Source organism: Homo sapiens, chromosome 8 (assembly GCF_000001405.40).
Source record: "Homo sapiens chromosome 8, GRCh38.p14 Primary Assembly".
Classification (NCBI taxonomy): domain Eukaryota; kingdom Metazoa; phylum Chordata; class Mammalia; order Primates; family Hominidae; genus Homo; species Homo sapiens.
Window position 1 is genome coordinate 118,220,009 of NC_000008.11, and position 22,639 is coordinate 118,242,647.

The 22,639-nt window shown below is 39.9% G+C and overlaps 1 protein-coding gene across 7 annotated transcripts in view; it reads right to left on the reverse strand.

The window, feature by feature from the left end:
• SAMD12 (sterile alpha motif domain containing 12) overlaps positions 1 to 22,639 on the reverse strand; it is a 490,139-nt gene that overhangs the window by 88,184 nt on the left and 379,316 nt on the right. Inside the window, exons 5-6 of one of the 7 annotated variants that reach the window (XR_007060732.1) lie at positions 21,144 to 21,262; positions 19,707 to 19,967 (exon numbers count right to left, since the gene is read on the reverse strand). The exons of 4 other annotated variants lie outside the window; for them this stretch is intronic. Coding sequence is in view for 1 of the 3 variants with exons in the window: in XM_047421779.1 (XP_047277735.1) it covers positions 21,195 to 21,262 (68 nt within the window). In the remaining 2 variants the exon portion in view is untranslated. Of the gene's footprint in view, positions 1 to 14,862; positions 21,263 to 22,639 lie in introns of those variants that run through there. 2 more of the 7 variants (XR_007060733.1, XM_047421779.1) reach the window with 2 other exon arrangements.

Sequence of the window (22,639 nt, forward strand, 5' to 3'; positions counted from 1 at the left end):
GATATCCTTATTATGAACATTCAAGTACGTATTACTCTTGTTAAAGCTATGGCTTACACTGAAAATGGTAATGCTTGCCTGGAGTTCTGGATAAATGGTTGAGGCTGTTCTTGAATGGTGGGACCAACCTGGGAGTTCTGTGTCTAGGACTGAGAGAATCAGTATCTCTCGGCACACAACAGTGTGAGTGAACCTTTTGGTGTGTACAGTTCCATCGTCGTGCTATTCAGGAATGGACGTGGTGAATAGTGTTCTCTACAGCAATTCTGCTGGGTTATTTTTTAAATTTTATTTTCCACTTTACAAAGATATATCTATCCACTATTTAAATCGACATAAATAATCTGGCCATGATTCTGTATTTTATGACTTCTGTGACTGTTAGGTTTTAGAATAGGAAATGTGACAGTCTCTAAGAAATGATCATTTCAGTTGCCAGATCCTAGGAATCTATAGGCCCTTTAAAGAAACGTACATTTTAAGTAACACCTTACCTCCTTCCCAAGAATTTAGTTAATCACTACATTTTTCTTCTATCATTCCTATCATGTTATAAAATCAGTTTCTCAAAAAGCTGTTCTCATTATTCTCATGTGTTTCTCAATTTCTTGTTACAAACCCTAGGAGTCAGTTGCTAAAAATCATGATTCAAGCCACTTTAGCAGAGAAACAAGATCTAGACTTGGCCAAGCTTGGAACAGCAACGGAAACAGACTTGACAGTTTCTTCATTAATTCCTGATGCTTTACAAACATTAAAAACAAAAACAAAAATAAAAAACAAACACATCAAGGCCTTCCCAAAGAACACATTTTCCATATTTTGATATGGTCACTTTGTAATCATTGAACCAGTGATTATGCAAATAGGCAAAACCTGTCCTTGTGCCAACTGCCTGAGAGATCTAAAAGGCAGGAGGGGTGGGGGACATATTGTCCATTGAGATGAGAAGACGTGTGGTGGAATACGAAGATATGAAGGCCTCTGGAATTATTTGCGTATGATTTCTAAAAAAAAAATAACTACGGGGAAAACTTCTTGAAGTTAAATTAGGATGAAAGGAGTGCCTATGAGAAATTAGATATTCATAGTGAAAAGAAATAAGGGATCAAAATATTTTTGTCTCGTCTATTAGTATTTACGGTCTGGCTCTATGCAATAAAATAAATAGAAATTCAAACCTCTATTAATTAAAACGATCTCTCCCCAAAAGTGGTTCAAAATCTGAGGGATGGGGGTGGGATGAAAGGAAAAAGTAAGTAATCAGATTACAGTGGGAGAAGTGCTACGTTAGTAGTGTGGAAAACGTGTTGGAAACCGTGAGGAATAATTAATCACATCCAGAGAGTGAGTGGGAGGGGTCATTTCAGCTCAGCCTGAAGCGTGAGTAGGCTATTTCCTTGTATTGCTAGAGGGACTGCATTTCTGGACGTGAGTTTTGTTTAAGCCAAGATGTGGAAGAATGAAAGAACAGATCTGTTTCTGGAATGGCAAGAAGTAAAAAATAAATAAATAAATAAAAGGATCAGCTATGGCTTAGTCATAGGATGAGTTAATTGAGTGAGGGGTGGGAGAGAGATGGGGTTGTAGTGGCTTGCAACCTAATCTAGTGTTTGGAGCCAGATCATGAAGAGACAGGTATACCAGGCTAATGGGTTTGGATTTTATCATGCAGGCAGTGGGCATTTAGGAAAGTTTCATAGCAGAGGGTGTGCCACGGTCATAGTTATGGTTTAGAAATCTTGCTCCATACTGGTTCTGCAGGTAGGGGATTATATGGCTTGCCTTGCGGCAATTGTCAGAGTTGCCGTTTTTACATTCGTTGGGGTGATTATTTGATTAATACTTAATTGAGACCACAGCACCATGAAAATAAGATCCATGTTTCGCTTTTTGCTCAGAACAGTCTCCCTCGCACCAAGCACAGTTCCTGGAACAGAGAAGAACTTCAGTGATGATTTGGTGAATGAGTTAAACTACTGAATATTCATGTGGGCCACATAAGTGGTAATGAAGGCCCGAATCATGGCAGTACCAGTGACAGCAATTAAGAGGGAAGACGTTTTTGTTTGACATCTAAAAAAGAAAATCCTGGGTTGGCTCTAAGACAGGTGGCAGGAGAAAAGACAGGAGGACCTCAAGTTTCTAGGGTGGGTAATTAAGGGAAGGGCAGTTATTAAATCAGCAGGGAAAGCAAGAGGAGGAGGACTGGGTTTTTTTCAAGAGCAGAAGATAAAAATTTGGTGTTGGATATGTATTATAGATGCCTGCAGGACATCCATGTGGGCAGGAGGCAGAATGTCATAGTGGAAAGAACAAAGCAGCAGAGGACCTTGGATTTGGGCTTTGTCATTTACCAGCTATGTGACCTAGAGTGTCATGAACCTCTGTGAAGTCAGATTTCTAATTTAGAAAGTGGAGATAAGAATCTCTGCCATAATTACCTCAGAATGATTTTATAATAATCTAAAATTTAAAAATGTGTGAGGAAGTGCTTTTTATTTTTATCTTTTTGAGATGGAGTTTTGCTCCTGTTGCCCAGGGTGGAGTGCAATGCCTCAATCTCAGCTCACTGTAACCTCCACCTCTGGGGTTCAAGCGATTCTGCTGCCTCAGTCTCCCGAGTAGCTGGGATTACAGGTGTGTGCCATCATGCCAGGCTAATTTTGTATTTTTAATAGAGACGGGGTTTCACCATGTTGGACAGGCTGGTTTCAAACTCCTGACCTCAAGTGATCCACCCACCTCAGCCTCCCAAAGCGCTGGGATTACAAGTGTGAGCCACGGCACCCGGCCGAGGAAGTGCATTTTAAAGTGCACAGAGCTCTTGGTGGACTCCCAGTTATGATCATAATCACTGCACTGAATGTGATGCATCCCTCAGCAGAGCATGGGACAGGTCAAATCCAGATCACAGGTTTAATGCACAGGGGCCATCTGACTTGTCAAAACTACAGGTAAGTCTCCACTTTGGGCCAGCAGCCTCGAGAATGGGTATGACAGTAGAGTAGACTAGACTTATCATCAGAAATAGAAAAATGTCTCTAAGTCTTCTACTAAGAGTTACATATTCCAGCTTAAGCAGAATGAGAGATATTAATATGAGGGTTAGGAGGTGTGCTCTGTTGCTGATGATGTAAAAACAACTTATGCTCAAATAAATATCTTCTCTTGACAGCCTCTGGAGTCTTTCTTCTTTTCTGAAAGCCAAACACAAACCCTTTTATCTTAATACACTCTTACTTCTAGAGTTGTCACTTTCTTTTTCAGCTTTCATCCAAGACTTCTCTCCTATACATTAGGCCCACGGATTCAATGCCTCATTCAAAGTCACACTAAGTCACTCCCATGCTATCTCCTGTAGCATCTGGGTTTTCCCTAGAAGACACTGACTCACTGAGCAACCATGAGCCAAAAACATCTTAGCATTTCGACTTCTGGTCAGTTCTAATGTTCTGTAGGAGTATGGTGGATAGAAACAGAACAATTCAGTTGATTGATTTCAAGATTTCTAAAACCAATAATCACAGTGACCCTGCCCTGATGGGGAGGTAGACTTGTTGGAGACAGTCTTCTGTTAGAGACTGGCTCCTGTCTTCAAAATGAGCCTTAAGCAAGGATTCCTTGCGGGATGGAAAAGTTGAGTTTCTGAGAACAATCAATAGGGCTATATCTTTTGCCCATCTCAAGTTCTTTGATGTAATATAAAAGCAATAATGTGCCTGAGAATGAACTCATAAACAGTTATTCATTTTATAGCATAATAAAAGTAGGGCAAGATAGAGTTGAGATTTAGGCAAAGAATTGGGCTGGCAGTTAGGAGATCTTGTTTTTCTTGCAAGGTTGCTCATGGTGTCATCTTTAGTGAATCACCAGGTGGCTCCTGGCCTCAGTTTTTCCACCAGTGAAACACAGAGTGGCATTGGACCATCAATAAACAAGTAAGGGTAACAATTGCAATATATGTGCAATTAACATGCCAGGCTCTATTCTCGATCTTGGGATAGATCCATGAATAGAACAGAAAAAAGTAATTCTTGTGTTCATAGAACTCAGATTCTAGTGAGGGAAGAGACAATAAACAAAACACACAATAAATAAGGAAATTGTATGTTGGAAGTTGATAGGTGCTGTTAAAACACACTGAACGGGTAAGGTGGATTTGGATCATGAGAGTGGCTGAGGACTGCACTGGTTGCAGGCTTTGGAAAGGTCTGGGTTCTAACCTTGACTAGTAACTCCTTTCCCTCATTACAACAAAATAATAGTACCCTCAGGTCACACAGGAATTGTAGGAGTTCAATGAAGTAAGGAAAGAAAAACCACTTGGCATGCAAATGTTACTATTATTATCCTTATTTTCTAATTCCAAATATCTTGACTCCAAAATCATGAATCTCAAATAACAAATACTGGAATGACAAAGGACAATATTATTTTAATATCACAAAGAAAACCAAAGATGTAGTTTTGGTCACATGGTTTGTTTAAGGATGGGGCCAATTACGTGAATAAGGGTGATATTTGCTGAAGCAGGAGTACCTCTAAGATTCCCATAGGACAGACAGCCACAGGCTCTATTTTTAGTTCAAGGATTTACAAAAATGAAAAAAAGAAAATAAAACAAATAAAAGGGATTTATAAATTTTAAAACAAAGCTTTAAATTTTATATGTTCCAAGAAGCTTCCAGAGGCTGGCTTTTGGAGAATAAAGCACCTGAACAATAATCAGAAAAGGCAAAATTGCCTCCTTGGGATATTGATGTTAACAGATGTGACTTTTTCTGTTTCATGCCAGGAACAGAGCGCTTCTGGCAGAGGTGTGAATTTCAGTACATCACTGGCAGAATTGCTGACCTCTGTGGGAAATGTTTAAGTCCTTTGATGTAACTTATTGTTGAGCAAACAGTATTTCTGGCACTAAAAACGTTTTGGGTTTATATCTGTTTCCATCAATCTTTATTCAATGACATTATCATTGCTCACCTATTACAGATATTTCTCAACTGGGAATTCATGAAAAGGGCAGAGAGTTGGAGAGAGTGTTTATTGAAATGACCAAAAGCTTTTGTTGCATCCTCTCCTGCCCTATGCTTATAGAGGTCATAAAATCACTCAGGGGATAAGACATTTTTTATTAGAAAATAGTAAAAGTAGTTCTCCCTAGACTTCTTCCTGTATTAAATGCTACACATCTTGAGGTTGGTACTACCAAAAAACTATGCCCCATTCATTCATTCATTTATTCCCCTTATGATGAATGTGTTATACATCTGTGCTATGTAGGCACAGGTGTAAAAAAGCTTACAAACCCAACGAGAGCCTTCTGCCTCTGAATACAATGCTGTTGTCTGGAAACTAAAAAAAGGCCACTCCATTAAGTTTGCAGAGGACGTGGCCTCACTTCCCAAATGCTGCCAGCAAAGTTGTGCTGCCAGGGTTTTTGGAGGCTGGCTCCTAGAAAGGATCTGGGAGTGATCTGCAAGGGGTGAGCTCTGTACCATGCTGGGGGCAGCAGGATCATTAAGTACCTAACTGTTTGCAGGGGAATAGGGTTAATGGGCCAGAACCTTTCTGGAGCTTAGCGTTCAGGAGTTCAACTAAGTCTCCAAAAGAGCATGTTAAGCGATTTAGGGAAGTTGATTCAAACTCAGCAAAACTTTATCAAGGGCCTTCTAAAGAGCAAGTTGGGATCAGATGTGAAAAGGTGAGGATAAAACAGTCCCCCTTTTCAAAGAGCTTACAGTTCAATTCATATGCAGGGACAGGCCAAGCGCAGCGAGGATACTCAGCATATGACCTTGAACTTACAAAATCATCAAAGCAGCTCTCCAAGGACAGATAATGAGATTGAGGCTCAGAGATGGGAAGTAACTTGGCTAAGGATGCAGTGAATTACACCTGGTTCAGTCTCCAGAGCAGCTTCGATCACCTCCTCAGGCTCTGCAGGAACTGAGTCTCAAGATACAGAGCTGACTCAGCTAGACTTTCTGGGTCACAGAGATGCATATGTACACAGTAGGAAGACAAAAGGACTCAGGCACATTGAGCGCTTACTCTGTGTCAGGCACTGTCCGAAGTGCTGGTGCATACTAAGTGTTTTATATTTATTATATCATTTAATCCTCACAAACCATTTGTACACGAGGTACCAATGTTGTCCCCATTTAACACATGAGGACACTGAGGAATGAGGAAGCTAAGTTGCTAGCAAGAAATCATACACTCAATAACTCAGGATTAAAATTCTCACCATCTGGAGACTATGCTACTCATATTACACTATTGCCTGGGACAAGATACTTCTTTCTGTGGCGTACTGAAGCCTCATACCGAACCCAGATTTCAGCAATGAAATTTCTAGCAGAACATGGATAAGTAATTATGGTGTTAGTTCTAAACCAAAAGCATCAGATGGATCCTATCTTTATCAGAAAGTCAAGAAAATCCTCCTTTGATAGCAAGCTGGCTTCTCGTATATTTCTTTAACACTCACCCTGAAAGAACTTCTGTCCATCTGACTATCTGACCACCCATCCATCCATCCATCAATTTATCCAACTATTCAGCAAACATTTATGGAGGATTCCCTATATGCTGTGCACTTTGTAAGAAGCTGGTAATACAAAGATAAGTACATACATAGCCCTGCCCTGGAGAAAGTAATAATGAGGAGGTAGTATTGTAAAGAAAAATAATTAGAATCCAGTAAACTCTGTGTAGTAACTGAGATAGGAGCAAAGTTCCATGGGTGCACAGAGAAGGTACTAAGGCAGCTTGGGGGAGTCAAGAACTTCCAGAGGGGCCATCTGGCTAGGATGAGAGCTGCTTGGAAGAACATGGTAGCTTTGGATGTGTGTGTGTAGAAAACTGAGGAACAGTGAGAGGGTGTATAAGTAGAACATTCCATAAACCTTTGATAGCATCAGATGGGGTGGACACTGAACCAGGAATTAGAGGACATAGGCTTTCAGGGCTACTATTCAACCTAGCAGTCCAATTACTGGGTATATACCTAGAAGAGTATAAATAATTCTGCCATAAAGACACATGTATGTGAATGTTCACTGCAGCACAATTCACAATAGCAAGACATGGAATCAACCTAAATGCCCATCAATGGTAGGCTGGATAAAGAAAATGTGGTACATACACACCATGAAATACTGTGCTGCCATAAAACAGAATGAGATCATGTCTTTTGTGAGAACATAGATGGAGCTGGAGGCCATTATCCTTAGCAAACTGACGCAGGAACAGAAAAACAAATATCACATCTTCTCACTTATAAGTGTGAGCCAAATGATGAGAACTCGTGGACATAAAGAAGGGAACAACAGACATTGGGGCTTACTTGAGGGTGGAGGGTGGAAGGAGGGAAAGGAGCAGAAAAAATAACTATTGAGTACTAGGCTTAGTACCTAGATGATGAAATAATCTACATAACAAACCCTCATGACCGAGTGTACCTATGTAACAAACCTGCACATGTACCCAGAAGCCTAAAATGAGAGTTAAAAAAAAAGATGACATGGGTTTTCTTACTTGGCCTGGTATAACATGGAATATGATACTGGGTAAGTCACTTTCCTCATTGCTTAGACAAGAATATTGTTATGTGGTTTACTTCTTACTCATAGGGATGTGATTGAACATGTTATAGAGCTTGAAGAATATTTAACTAATACAAAATGTTATGATTACCTGTGATCCTATCTTCCCCATTCCCCAAATGTACCTCACCACACAAAAGCAGATCTCAACCTTAAGAGAAAGCGAAGTGACCCATGACTAAGAATAAGACTTAGACATAGCCAAAGCAAGACTAAGCAAAAATAACAAATCTGGAGACATCACACTACCTGATTTCAAACTATACTACAAGGCCATTGTCACCAAAACATTATGTTACTGGTATAAAAATAGGCACATAGACCAATGGTACAGAATAGAGAACTCAGAAATAAACCCAAATGCTTATAGGCAACTGATCTTTGACAAAGCAAACAAAAATGTAAAGTGAGGAAAGGACACCCTTTTCAACAAATGGTACTCAGATAAGTGGTTAGCCACATGTAGGAGAATGAAACTGGATCCTCATCTCTCACCTTATATAAAAATCAACTCAAGATGGATTAAAGACTTAAACCTAAGACCTGAAGCTAAAAATTCTAGAAAATAACATGGAAAAACCCTTGTGGATATTGGCTTGGGCAAGGATTTCATGACCAAGAACCCAAAAGCAAATGCAATGAAAACAAAGATAAATAGCTGGGACCTAGTTAAACTAAAGAGCTTTTCCATGGCAAAAGGAACAGTCGGCAGAGTCAACAGAAAACCCACAGAGTAGGAGAAGATCTTCACAATCTATACATCTGACAAAGGACTAATATCCAGGATTTACAACAAACTCAAACAAGTCAGTAAGAAAAAGAAAAACAAACAATTCCATCAAAAAGTGGGCTAAGGACATGAATAGACAATTCTCAAAAGAAGATACACAAATGGCCAATAAACATATGAAAAAATGCTCAACATTACTCATGATCAGGGAAATGCAAATCAAAACCACAATGCAATACCACCTTACTCTTGCAAGAATGGCCATAATCAAAAAATCAAAAAACAGTAGATGTTGGCTTGGATGCAGTGATCAGGGAACACTTCTACACTGCTGGTGGGAATGTAAACTAGTACAGCCATTCTGGAAAACAGTGTGGAGCTTCCTTAAAGAACTAAAAATAGAACTACTATTTGATCCAGCAATCCCACTACTGGGTATCTACCCAGAGGAAAAAAAGTCATTATTCGAAAAAGATACTTGCATATGCATGTTTATAGCAGCACAATTCACAATTGCTAAATCGCGGAACAAATACAAATGCCCATCAGTCAATGAGTGGATAAGGAAACTGTGGTACATATGTACGGTGGAATACTACTCTGCCATAAAAAGGAATTAATTAACAGCATTTGCGGTGACCTGAATGAGACTGGAGACTATTATTCTAAGTGAAGTATGGAAATGGAAAACCAAACATCGTATATTCTCACTGATATGTGGGAGCTAAGCTATGAGAACGCAAAGGCATAAGAATGATGCAATGGACTTTAGGGACTTGAAGGGAAGAGTGGGAGGGGGGCGAGGGATAAAAGACTACAAATATGGTGCAGTGTATACTGCTTGGGTGATGGGTGCGCCAAAATCACAAATCACCACCAAATAACTTACTCATGTAACCAAATACCACCTGTACCCAAATAACTTATGTAAAAATAAAATAATAAAAATTTAAAAATATATAAATAAATAAAAATATCAAACTTATTTATCTTGCCCTTGCAAGATAAACAGCAATAAAAAAAGAAAGAAGACTTAGGAAAATTGTATCTCCTGTACAATGTCTAGAATTCTTTCTCCCTGACTTATTTACATGCTCCCCCAAGTCCACAGTATACCTTATTACTAACTAATGCGCACTTTGTTTTACGTTTAGCCTTCTCTCCTTCTCCTTTCTAACTTCACTATGGACATTGAGACCTGCTTTTCCCACTTCATCAAACACTATTTTCATTATTTTGGCTCCTATGGTGTTGACTATAATGAAAAAGGCTGAAAATCTACAACAAACTCCAGGAACTCAATGAGTTAATGTGGGCTGGGCTCTGACTCTCAACTAAGCATGTCAGGATGAAAAGCATTCAGGAAACAAACTCCCATACTCTCTCTCCAGTCTCCCCCTTCATTACAGACACTGTCACATAGAATTCCCCTATAAGAAGACTTCCCCGGAATGAGAGGCCACACACGGCTGCCCTACCAGGGCCAGTAATGAGTGCCATCCGAAGTTCAGAGCTGGAGCCCAATTATCTACATTTATTGCATCAGAGGCTTCAACCCTTATGAGTTCTGGGGTGCAGAAATACAACACCTCCTCCTGGGATGTGATCTGTCTATGAGAGAAGAAATATGAATCTGCCATGTGGAAAAGGATTAAAAAAAAGAAAACTGAGGGTTACTGGCCTGGAAGAGAGGTATTTTGTGATGGTTGCCTTGACATCCCTGAAAAGCTGCCAAGGAGAAGGAGGAGAGGGAGTAAAAGGAGTAGGAGGGTAACAATGATAATAGGAGCCAACGTTTAATGAGGGCTTGCTGTGGGCCAGGCACCATGCTAAGCGTTTCACTTGAAATTCTCCTCCAGTGCTCACAATAAACCTGTGACATAGATACTATTCTTGTCACAATTTTAGATATGAGGATTAAACAGGCTAAATGGCTTGCCCAAGGTGTAGAGCTAATCAGATATTGAAGCGGGATTCTATCCCAGACAGAACCAGACAGAAATATTGGACTCATGGTTTTCTAGACTGGCTACACATCAGGATCATTTAGGAGAGCTATTCCAACTACTGATTCCTAAACAATCCAGAGGACATATGAAATCAGAATTGCTAGAGAAGCTTCCTGGATAATGACGTTTCTTGGAAGCTTCCCTGGTGGGTCTGATGTATGCAGTCAGGTTTGAGCTCCTTTGGAGAACACACAATTTGTGTGACCTATAGGGACAGAAGGACAAGTTGAGACTGGAGAACTACTCTACATTCTACAATCAGAGGTTTCACCGAGAAAAATGCATTTATACTGAAAACTGAATGGCAACAAGGAATCAGCCCAAGAAAGAATTGGGGGCAGAGGGCTCCAGGCAGAGAAAATAGCAAGTGGAAAGGCCCTGGAGTGCAAATAAACTTGAGGTATTCAAGAAAGGAAAGAAGGCTGGTGTGCCTGCAGCACAGTGAGCGAGCGGGAGAGTGGCTGAGACCAAATCAGAGGGGCAGGAAGGAACCCAATCGAGTGGGCTTGTGGGTGACGACAAAAAATTTGGATTTTATTCCAAGTGCAATGGAAAGCCAGTGTGGGGTTTTAAGCAGAGAAGTGATGACTTTTGATTCACAATTTAAAAAGATAATCTTAGGTTCAGACTTATTATAAGAGGGCAACAGTGAAAGCAAGGAGCACAATTAGAAGGTTATTAATAATAAGGCAGCAATCCAGGCAGGGAAGAGGGTGGACTGAGCCACAGCAGTAATTTCCTTCTCTGAGTTGTTATGGGGAATAAGTGAAATAACATAAATGCACCCAGGACAATGCCTGGCACAGAGTAGATGATAAAATATTTGAATTTCTTTCTTTCAACTCTGTGCTACAGCAGGGAGCCAGGCTTTAGATCAAAGGAAGAAAGGAGTTTCCTAGAGTCAGGGCTGACCTAAGATGGCAGGTGCTAACTCTGGGAGTGATGCACTTCCTAGGAAGGGGGAACTGACAGATCACTTGGCAAGCATAATAAAACCATGGTTATGTTCAGGTCACTTCTAATCTCAATAACCTATGATTTCCAATAATTCATTCATTCGACCCATATTCATTGAACAGAACCTATATCCTGGGTATTGTGCCAGGCACTGTCATTCAACTAGTGAACAATAAAAGTGGCTAAGGAAATTGAGATTTTTACTGCCTGTCTGACCTTTGGTAGTTTGCAGTTCTTTATTCAAAGCAGTTGTGAGAATACAGTCCTATATCACAGCTTGGAGTATATTAAGGTGATGTTTTATGCCCTAAGTTTTTTAAAACTCTTTATTGATTTATTTAGCAACTATTTATTATTTGGCTATTGTGTGTTAGGCACTGAGGATAGAAGGATGTAGGAAAGAGGCTACCTGTCCACCAAAATTTATGATCCTCCTTCTGCATACCTGTTACTAGGAGTAGTTGCCAGATGCTACATGCCCCAGCATCGCTTGCAATTTGGTATGGCCATGTGATTGAGTTCTTGCCATGAGAACGTGGTGTGAACAACAGTGATGTACACACTTCTAGTACTGGTCTAAAAAAAAAAAAGCCTTCTGCAAGGCACTCCTTCATACTCTTTTACTTTCCAGCTGGATTGAATGGAGAAGTCTTTAGGAAGACTTTGAAAGCCACTTATTGATGATGGCAGAAGTTCAGACCATCCTGCCTATCTGTTCACTTGCCTCGTAATGTTATCTGTGCAAGAAATAAAAGTATAGTGTATTGGAGCTTTCATATATCTTTTTGGTCCCTCTGTTATAGCATTTACCCCACTGTTCTACATGAGGAGGATAAGACAGGCCTCCTCCTGAGTCTCAGAGCTGGTAGTTGTGTTCAGGAGACCATTTACTTAAAATCAAGGTTGTGATTAGATGAGATAAGCTTAAGCTCCCCATAGAAACACATAACAGGGGCATCTAAATCATCCTGGGGGATCAGAGGGATGTTGCCCAAGTTGCAACCTAGAGGGTAAACTGGAGTTTACCAGAAGGGGAGAGAGGAAATGTATTCCCATTAGAGGATCAGCAGAAGTAAAGCCCAGGGCAAGAAAGAACATGGGGTATTTGAGGACATGGAACAGGTTCAGCTGGGCTGAAGTGAGGGTAGAGGGCAAAGTTGGGGAATGGTAAGGGAGATTGTTGGAGGGTAATAGCATCTGCTATATCAGCAGAGGAAAAGAGTTCTCATGTCCTTATTAGAACACCAGGCTGAGAGTCTCCAGCTTTAGCAGAGTTAACACCTTCCCAGACAGATGCACTGTTCTGCATAGCTCCTTTCTTTCCTCCTGCAAGTGAAGGGCCAGCGTGTGCATGTGCACGTGTGTGTGTGTATGTGTGTGGTGTGCTGAGGGTGAGAAAGGGAGGCAAAGAGAAAGGGGAGGAAGGTTGATTCAGTTATTCTTGACCTGAGTCACATCAGAAAGCCAACAGAGGGTGTAGGCTCTCAGGGTGTTGCCAGCCTTGCAGGATGAAGGCTGTGGCGCCGGGAGATTTGTGCAGTGGGACCACCAGCTTTGGCAGGTTTAACAGAAATGAACGGTACCAGCCCAATTCCAGCTTAAATAGACAATATTGAAACTCTGCCAGAAAGAATCTGAGCAATATTTTGCAAACTTTAATAACAGCTCAGAGAAACCGATCAGAGCATTTGGCTTCACAGTGCGTTATTGCTCAGCTGGACCCATGTAATAGCAGAGAGGAATGAATCTATTTTTTTTCCATTTCCAGAGAATAATATTTTTCTTCCTCCCAAACTGTGAGGAATTCAGTGAAGTCTCAATGTATTTGTCTTGTTTCTTATTTCAACTTCTCGATAAATCCCCCAAAGGGTTTTGGCACCCACAGTTAAGGCAGTCAGTTTACTGCCTGAAATATCTTCTCCTATTGGAAATTATATTTCTAGAAACTGTAACTTTCTTTGGCTGAGACTTTAATTTGTGGCTTTGATGTCCCACATGCAAGGCACTGACCATGACAATTAGGTAGGTTTTTGGATATGCTGAGCAGTGGAGAGTTCCATATATTATTTGGAATTCAAGAGTAATTGACATCTTCCCGGACCTCTGTAGTAGAAAGAAGATAGTTTTGGAACCTGAAATGGGATAAAATCTCAGGTCTACCTCTTATGAACTGGGTAACTTAAAAGAAGTGGTTTAAGCACTATGGGCCTCAGTTTTCTCTCACCTGTAAAATGAGGACATTCCTGAGCTCCCAGGTAGATTATATAAAATAAAGGGTATCAAGTGCTTGGGATAGTGTCTGGCTTTTAGGAGAATCCCATCCAATGGCATCTCCTTGCCTTCTCTTCCTTTCCCTAAAGGCTGGGAAAAGAGGTTGTGAAGCCCCAGATGGCAGCACAAGGTATTATTTCTAGGTTAGCATATGAACTCCTCACTCCCAGTCTGGAGAACAGGAAAGGCCCACATAGCACTTTTATCATTCTGGTAAAACAGCTGGGTTAGGGAATCATGTAGATTTTTGAAATGGTAAGTTGTTTCCCATGAGAACAGGGGTCTCTGACGAGTCCAAAGGATGGGGTAGCTCCACTCAAATGGCAGCCTTCAAAAACAGAGGTTGCCAGCTAGTTGTGAGTAGAACTGGTTCCCACAGTAGAGCTGCTCAAGTTTGGCTCACCTTTGGGACAAATGAAGTGGTTTGGCCTCACTTTGGGAGTAATGTTAAAGGAAAGATGAACTGAGATCTTTTTATCTTAGAGAATTGTTTTCCAAAGAAAGACAAACTAGAAAAACTATGGCAAGGCAGAAATTAGGGGAGAATTATTTTCCTTTAGATAAGACTGGTGGTTTCTCGATGTTTTTTGGTGAAGACTACATGAAAAAGATTAAAACACTCTTTCTCATTTGTCAGTCTCTGCTTGGATTCTACCTCCCTAAAAGGCCTTCCTTGACTACTTTTCTCCTTGAAGAAGGCATTGTCTATTTCCTAACTTTGCTTTATGTTTGTCATAATATTTATCATCATCTGAAATTACACATACTGATTTGGTTTTGCATTTAGAACTTGTCTTCCCCAGTGGAATGTACTCAGCTACTGCATCTCACTTGCTGCTGTCTTCCTGATGTGGCATTTAAGTAATATTTATTCACTTTGGGAGGCTAAGGTGGATGGATCACTTGAGGTCAGGAGTTCAAGACTTGCCTGGCCAACATGGTGAAACCCCGTCTCTACTGAACAATACAAAAATTAGCCAGGCATGGTGGCAGGTGGCTATAGTCCCAGCTACTTGGGAGGCTGAGGTAGGAGAATCACTTGAACCCAGGAGACAGAGGTTGCCGTGAGACAAGATCATGCCACTGTACTCCCACCTAGGTGACAGAGTAAGACTCCATCTCAAAAAAAAAAAAAAAAAAAGAAATACTTATTGAAGGAAGCAATAAATAATACAAATTATATATAGTCATTATTTTTTGTTGTTTTTTAGAGATAAGTAAGTCATAATAAAATTTAATTATTTCTATAAAATGAAACATTAAAAATGAATAATTTCTTAGCAGCTATGGCCAAGTTTTTTGGATTTCTAAATATTTTTAGAAGCAGAATTGATTTTTATCCACTTTTTCTTACATAAATACTCTCAAAATGTTCATTGTTTGGCTGATGCATTCCAAGTTATGTTTAGGTAAGTATGTTACATTTTAGAATTTTTATCCACTTCTTGGTAATCAGAAGGTATAATCCAAATAAACTGTCAATTCTATTGTCATTTTTCTTGAAATCTGCTCTGTTGTTTCAGATGTGTAAACCTCAAACCTCAAATTTAGGGTAAGATGCCATTCTCAGTCCATTAACAAATAACATACATTTATATGGTCTTTAAATACATATGATTATTATAAGTCTTTTTTTTTTTTTAGACGGAGTCTTGCTCTGTCGCCAGGCTGGAGTGCAGTGGCGTGATCTCAGCTCACTGCAACTTCTGCCTCACGGGTTCAAGTGATTCTCCTGCCTCAGCCTCTGAAGTAACTGGGACTACAGGCATGTGCCACTATGCCCAGCTAATTTTTGTATTTTTAGTAGAGATGGGGTTTCACCATGTTGACCAGGATGGTCTCGATCTCTTGACCTTGTGATCCGCCCACCTTGGCCTCCCAAAGTGCTGGGATTACAAGCATGAGAAGTCTATTTTTAAAAACATGTATACTGGTGCCCTCAAAGCTTAAACATTTTGATAAAGGAGGAGTCGTTTTCATCATGCAATCAAATGTCAATCTTACTACAAAGTGAAAGAGATCTTAGCAGTGGGAATAGATAAAGCTTCAATAAGATACTTTATACTTCAGAGTGAAATTCATTTTGTTCTCAGTTGTTGAGATCATATTTGAAGAGTGGAAGGGGCAAAAGAAACAAGGACCACCATGACTGGTGATTAGTGTCATGACAGTCCACCTGGGAAACAGGCAAATAAACATCCAGTATTCACAGCTCACTTGGGACTTTCTTTATTCTTCATAAGAATGTGTGGAGCTTTCTGTCTCTCTCATTCTTTCCTTAATGCTCTGCAAAAAGAACTGAAAGCAGTCCTGGGAAAACAACGCAATAGTATTTGCAAACGTTTGATCCTGGAGCAGGGATTCTCTGCCACGGACTATGTGATATGCTATAAACTAATCTCTTTAAGCCTCTTAAATGAGGTAGTAATAGGACCCACCTTCTATGGTTGTTGTGAGATTAAATAAGCTGACATACATTGTCAAGCACTCAGGAATTCCTCAATTAATGAATATTCGCAGTTATGAGTAGCTCTGGCTTGTGACTACTTCAGCCCTTTAACAGATTCTTCTACAAATGCCACACTGCAACGATATTTGTTTTCTTAAAATATTGAAGCAGAGAAGCCTCACTGAGCAGCAACATCTCATTTGCCAGCGAGACCTAGTGAAGACTGAGGAAGTCAGCAGCCATGTGCCTTCATAGCATTAGAGCAATTACACCCTGCATTATTAAACTCCGTGGTATACAGTTCAACTTGCTAAATAATAAGAATTAAATACAGCCCAAATAGTAGCACTTTGCCTCAACCGTGAAAGAGTGGCACTCACCAATGAAACTCTCTAGCTAAATTACCAAGTGTGAGGCCTAAATTTAGGACGGGGCAATTCAGGAACAGTTGATTACTGGATCTAAGATTATAGATGTTCTTGTGAACTGTTGAAACTGATGGAATAAATATAAAATAATGGATTATTACAGAATTAGGAAAAAAACCTCGCCTGGGCTGGCTGGAATTGTTCTGCACTGTTATAAGAAATGATTGCTGAAAAGCAGTTGCAACTTGTGCCTACAAAAGGCAGCACAAATGACATCCATCTTCTGTAAGAAATTTGATATGGAGACTGAATAGAACAATATATTTTACTATCAAATTTGGCCCTTAAGATGTGATGTTATGCTTTAGGAGGCTGGAACTTCTCTTATGCTTTATTTGGATGAAAACAGAAACAACAGAAACTCGCAGCACGGCACTATTAAGGAGACCAGGTAAAGTCATGCTGCAAAAAGTTGGAAATCTACCTTCTCGTTTTCTAATCAGCCCTGAGAAGACCAAAGGGCAGAAGGGACATAGTTTGTGCTTTGGCACAAGACTGACCCCATGGCTCTGCCACCTCTGAACTGTGTAATAGCAGCCAGTTCTTTGACTTCCTTAAGTCTTGCCTTTCCCATCTGTAAGTTGAGGATGGTGGTTATGATACCATGTCCACAGGATTGGTGTGAGGGTCTGGGTTAGATGGTTAATTATTCCATTCAATCCTTGCAACAATCTCACTGTAAATGCTCCATAAATGGTTGACATTGTCCATGATTACATTCCACCTCCATGTCTTAAAAATTTTGTAACCTTGGATAAATTACTCTAGGTGTCCCTGTCTCTTAGAGAAAAAAGATGGAAAAAAATGACTAATGATCGTACCTACCTTACCAAATTGTTGGGATACACTAATGAGTTACGTAGAGCATATTTATCAGCCCTCTATGTATCAGCTGCTGTTATTGTTATAACTATGACTACTGCAACTATTTTAAGAATCAGTCAAGTCCATGGGAGGAGATTCGAAGGAGCAACCCTTCCTGGGTTGTGGTCCTAATAGCTATGTGTTGTCAAACCAATAATATGATGAGAGTCTTGGATTTGCTGTTCCTTTCCCCAGCTGTAAGAAGAGAAGCCTGGAAGCCCTGTCTATGGGAATGCCAAGAGCCAGCTGAGGTTATATCACAATGCCACCCAGGGCCTCTTACTATGAGAGGAATTGGAAGGTGGGAAGCTGGAGGCAGAAGGCTGGAAAGCCATTAGCTCAGGCTTTCTAATCTTGTAGGACCTTGATTGGGACTTCAGATGTCTTTGCCCAATAAAGTATTTTTTGTCATTAAAATCATGCAAATATAAGAATCAAATGTAAACATTAAAAAAATTCAGAAATATATTGGTAACTGCATCTTGGCACTGTTTTCTGCTGTTGCCTCTCTTCCATCTCCTCCTTCCTTTTCTCCCTCTGTTCCAATGCACTGCGAGCTTCAAAGAATGGAAGCAAACAAGGCCTTTCTCAAACTGTATCAGGTCTCCATACCACCTTCTCTATCAAAGCTCATGTGACCAAGATTTGAGCTGCCTACATTTGTGATTTGGTTATTTGTCAAAAACAAAACAAAACAAACAAACAAACAAAAAGAACTTCAGAATATTAAGTAGGAAAGCACAAGAGCTCTCTAAAGAGACACACATGGCTTTAAACTCCAGCTCTAGAAATACTTCATTAAGCTTCTGTTTCCTCATCTATAAAATGGGGGTAGTAATAATATCTCACTCACAGGACCACTGAGAGGGTTACGTGAGATCATGCATCTGACATTTTACCAGTGTTTGGCATAAGTAAGGGATTATACATGCTAGCCAATATTTTTGGTCTCAAGTCTTAGTATCCAGAAAGCTAGTACTCTAGTAGCCAGAATTTTCCTTTGTGATAAAATCAATTAAAATTTATCATTGTAATCATTTTTAAGCATACAGTTTAGTGGCAGTAAGTGCATTCTCATTGTTGTGCAAACGGAATTTCCTCCTATTATGTGGATAAGACCCTTGAGACCCTGAATCATATCTCAGGACTTGCCCAAAGTCACAGCGAGTCCTGGAACTTACATCTTCCAACCCTTCAGAGTTCCCTAGAATTTCAAAGGCTATCTCCTTGTGCTGACTCAGCTGTTGGAATGAGTAGTGAAGCTATAGACATAAATTATATCATTCATCTAGTCAACACATTCATTCTATAAATATTTTTGAACATCTACCATGGAAAGGACACATGCAAGAGATTAGACAAAAAGCATCTGTTATTTCTTTACAATAGCCTTATCAGTATTTTGGTTAGTTTTTACTTTTGTCCTTTTAGAAATGAGGCCATGAAGATCCAGACAGGTTTGGTAACTCTTCCAAGGCCACAAAGAAAATAGTGAAGATGGGATTCAACACCAGTGGACTATCACTCCAAGAGATTTGCGTTGAATCTGATTACAGGGCTTGTTAAGATTTTTTAGGAATACAGTTTTTTTCCTCAAGCCATAACAACATTATACCAATATGGTGGAGCAGGTCTTTTTTTACCATGGAAAAAAAGAAAACACCCAGATTCTTCTGTGAACCAGAAGTACCTGAAGTGGAAAAGAAATTAAGTCTCATTGTCATACACTGAGAACACTGTTGAATTATCACACCAGGGTATTCTTATGCCATGAGGATGGGGATGATGGTAGTGGTGATGATGATGATGATAATGGTAATGGGAATGGTATGGTGATGATTATAATGCTGATAATTATCAACCATGGATCACCTAGTACATACAAAGCTCTACATTTAGATATATTCATACATGTAATATTTGCTGAGTATCTTCTCTTTGTTAGGCACTAGGAATATAGTAGTAAATAGGACAGCTATACAAGGTTCCTGTTCTCATGGAATTTACAATCTAATGAACGATAAGATTTTAAACAAATAATTGCATATAGTAATCCTCAAACAGCCATATGAAGTTGGAATGATGACAATAATAACAAAACTACCAAGACTCTTCTATTACTGAGTACCTATTATGTGCCAGACACTCTTCTAGCTGCTTTACATACAAAATATTTTGTTCTACAGGTTACACAACCTTAATGGGCACCAGTTTCCTCCCAGCAAATATGAGCACAGATGGGTTTTTCTTACACCAAAGACTTTCCATCATACTCTGCTCTTAGGCTAGCCTTGGATTTATTTTCTACCCAGGCCATTTGTTCTTCCCATCCAGGGTTGGGATCTCGATATGTGGGCTAGGATACCAAAGGGTTTGGGTGCTCACCTTCTAATGGCCACCAGGTCTCTGTAAGCAAACACTCTTTTTTCATGTAGCCAACATAAAGGGAGACAGAGATTCCCAGCCACAACACTGGAATCTTCATGGGGGCTGTGTGCAGGTTTCTTCATCTTCTCCACCCTATAGAGCCCTGGAGAAGATGCCATCTCCATTACAGCGGGGCTTTCCCAGGACATGGAGGTAATTAGGCATGATCTTGGTCATTCTTTTGGAAGAGTCAGGGATATCTCCATATTCCTGAATATCCTAGGCAAGATGGCAATAAATTCATTAATAATATTATCCAAAATTTGTGCAGCCTGCTTCAGCTTACCTCTCACTAGCTCATAGGTTATCTCAGGTGATCCTCATTAAAATCCCTGTAGGGTATCTTTATTTATAGATGAAACTCAGCAGCCCTGTAGAGAAGCCCACATGATGAGGAGCTAACGCTTCTTGCCAACAGCCACGTGAGTGATGTTGGAAGCAAATATTCTAGCTCTGGTGGAGTCTTCAGATGACTGCAGCCCTGATTGACACATTGACTGCAACGTCAAGAAAGACTGCATCAGAAACACCCAGTTAAGCCACTCCTAGATTTGTGACTCTCAGAAACCATGAGATATAATAACGTTTGTTGTTTTAAGTGGCTAAATTTTTGAATACTTTGTTAAGCAGCAGTGGATAACTCATACGAAATTTAAGAATACAGAAATTCATTTTTGGAGTCAGACAGTTCTGGATTTGCATTCTGGTTTTGCCAGTTATGAGCTTTGTAACCTCGGGCAACTCATTCCACATCTCTAAGCCTCAATTTCCTCATCTGCAAAATGGAGGTAATAATGGTATTTGTACCCTAGGGTTTTTCCCCCTGAGTAATTGAAATGGTGCTTGTTAAACACAATGCTTGGCACCTAGTACGTAGTCAGTAAATGGAAGCTATAATTATTGTTATTATAATCTTTTGAGCTCATTTGGCAAATATTTAAAATACTGATTCTTCTTAAAGTGCCGACTACAAGCGTTGCTCAATTGGATTATGCAAAAGGAATTTTTTTACGAGGGAGGCATGCTCAGTCAGAGAACACAGGTCTTGCTTGAGATTGCCCGTGGTGCTGAAGGACAAGCCAAGATTAAAGAGTCAACCAGCAGTTGACTGAGCTTTTTTCTCCTTGTCCACAAAATGCTGATGAACAGCATTTTGTAATGTAATTAAGATTACACTGAAGAATGAGCCCTCTATCACCCCATCATTCAATCACCTTTTCCTTTACCAGCAGGAGCCAAGAGCTCGGCTTTACCTTCCCCTACAAACAACCACCTGACCCCCAGCTCATTAGTGCCATCCCTGGGATAGTATTCATTGATTTTAGGGACCAGAGTCCAATATTTCTCTCCCATCTGTCTTTATGGTCTGCACCGAGGTCAAAGTTAACTACATACTCATTTTCCGGGAGGACATTTCCTGATGCGAGAGTGATTAGAAACTTCTTCTTACTTCCCATTCTTCATACTCAAGTTTCTGTTCTTCTTGGCCCAATGGTTCATTCTATCTGTGTAATCTGAGGGCAGGTGTAGAAAATGGCTTACCTTGAAAACCATAAATTATCTGTACTCATCACTTTCAGAACAGGACTCATTAAAAAAACTTATTTCCCACAACAGTGTTCAGAGAGATGAGTTGCCTTTTAGCACACTAACACCTCTGCCTCTTTTAAGACCATTGAGCTTACTTCTTAGACCAATGTAGTAAGTCAATCCATACTTATCAAAACAAACATTTTGATGTGACTATCTTCTTAAGTGGTAAGTGACTTTTTCATGGAGAAGTTTAAGATGATTATACCTTTTTGGAAATAATCCCAACTCTTGATAAGCATACTGCTGGCCTAGGGGACAAGGGATTTGCCTGTTTGTTGTGGCGTGGCAACGGATGAGCTCTGTGAATCTGGGCAGGTCACGACATCTAAGTCAAATCAGTTTCCTCATCCATGAAATGGGGATACCTGCTCACCTACTCTTCAAAGTTTTCATAAAAATCAAATGGTATGGTATCAACAAAGTACTCTAAAAATAATTTAAATAGCTTCAATGTATATAAACATTCCAGTTATAAGAAATTCCGCAATAAATAAACCAGGTTTTACTAATATTCCTCCAACACACAAAACAAAACAATGATATTTGAGTGATATATGCAATATGTGTATTTATTTATTTGGAGACTGGGTCTCACTCTGTTGCCTAAGCTGGAGTACAGTGGCACAATCATGCCTCACCGAAGCCTTGACCTCCCTGGGCTCAGGTTATCCTCCCACCTCAGCCTCCCTAGAAGCTGGGACCCCAGGCACATGCCACCAAACCATGGCTAACTTCTGTATTTTTTTGTAGAGACAGTGTTTCGTCATGTTGTTCAGGCTAGTCTCAAACTCCTATGCTCAAGTGATCCACCCTCCTTGGCCTCCCAAAGTTCTGGAATTACAGGCTTGGCCCCATAAGTGTAAATAATAAAACTGTATGGATAAAAGAGAAATTAAGAATTTACATTTGGCAAAGGAACTGAAGAAAGAAAGTTAACACAAAGATGACAGATTGTCAAAATATAGGCCAGAAAACCTTAAAGTAGGTATCTTGAATCACAAGAAAATCAGACAAATACCAGTAGTTAGTCTCCCATTATCTGAGGCCTTGTTTTCCATGGTTGCAGTTATCCTTGGTACAGTAGGTACAGTAAAATAAGATATTTTCAGAGAGAGAGAGAGATTCACATTACTTTTATTATAGTATATTGCTATAATTGTCCTATTATATTAGTTGTTGTTAATCTTTTACTATGCTAAACTTATAAATTAACTTTATTATAGGTAGGTATTCTGAGGAACAAACATAGGGTTTGATATTCTCTGTGGTTTCAGGCCTCCACTGGGGGGTCTTGGAAC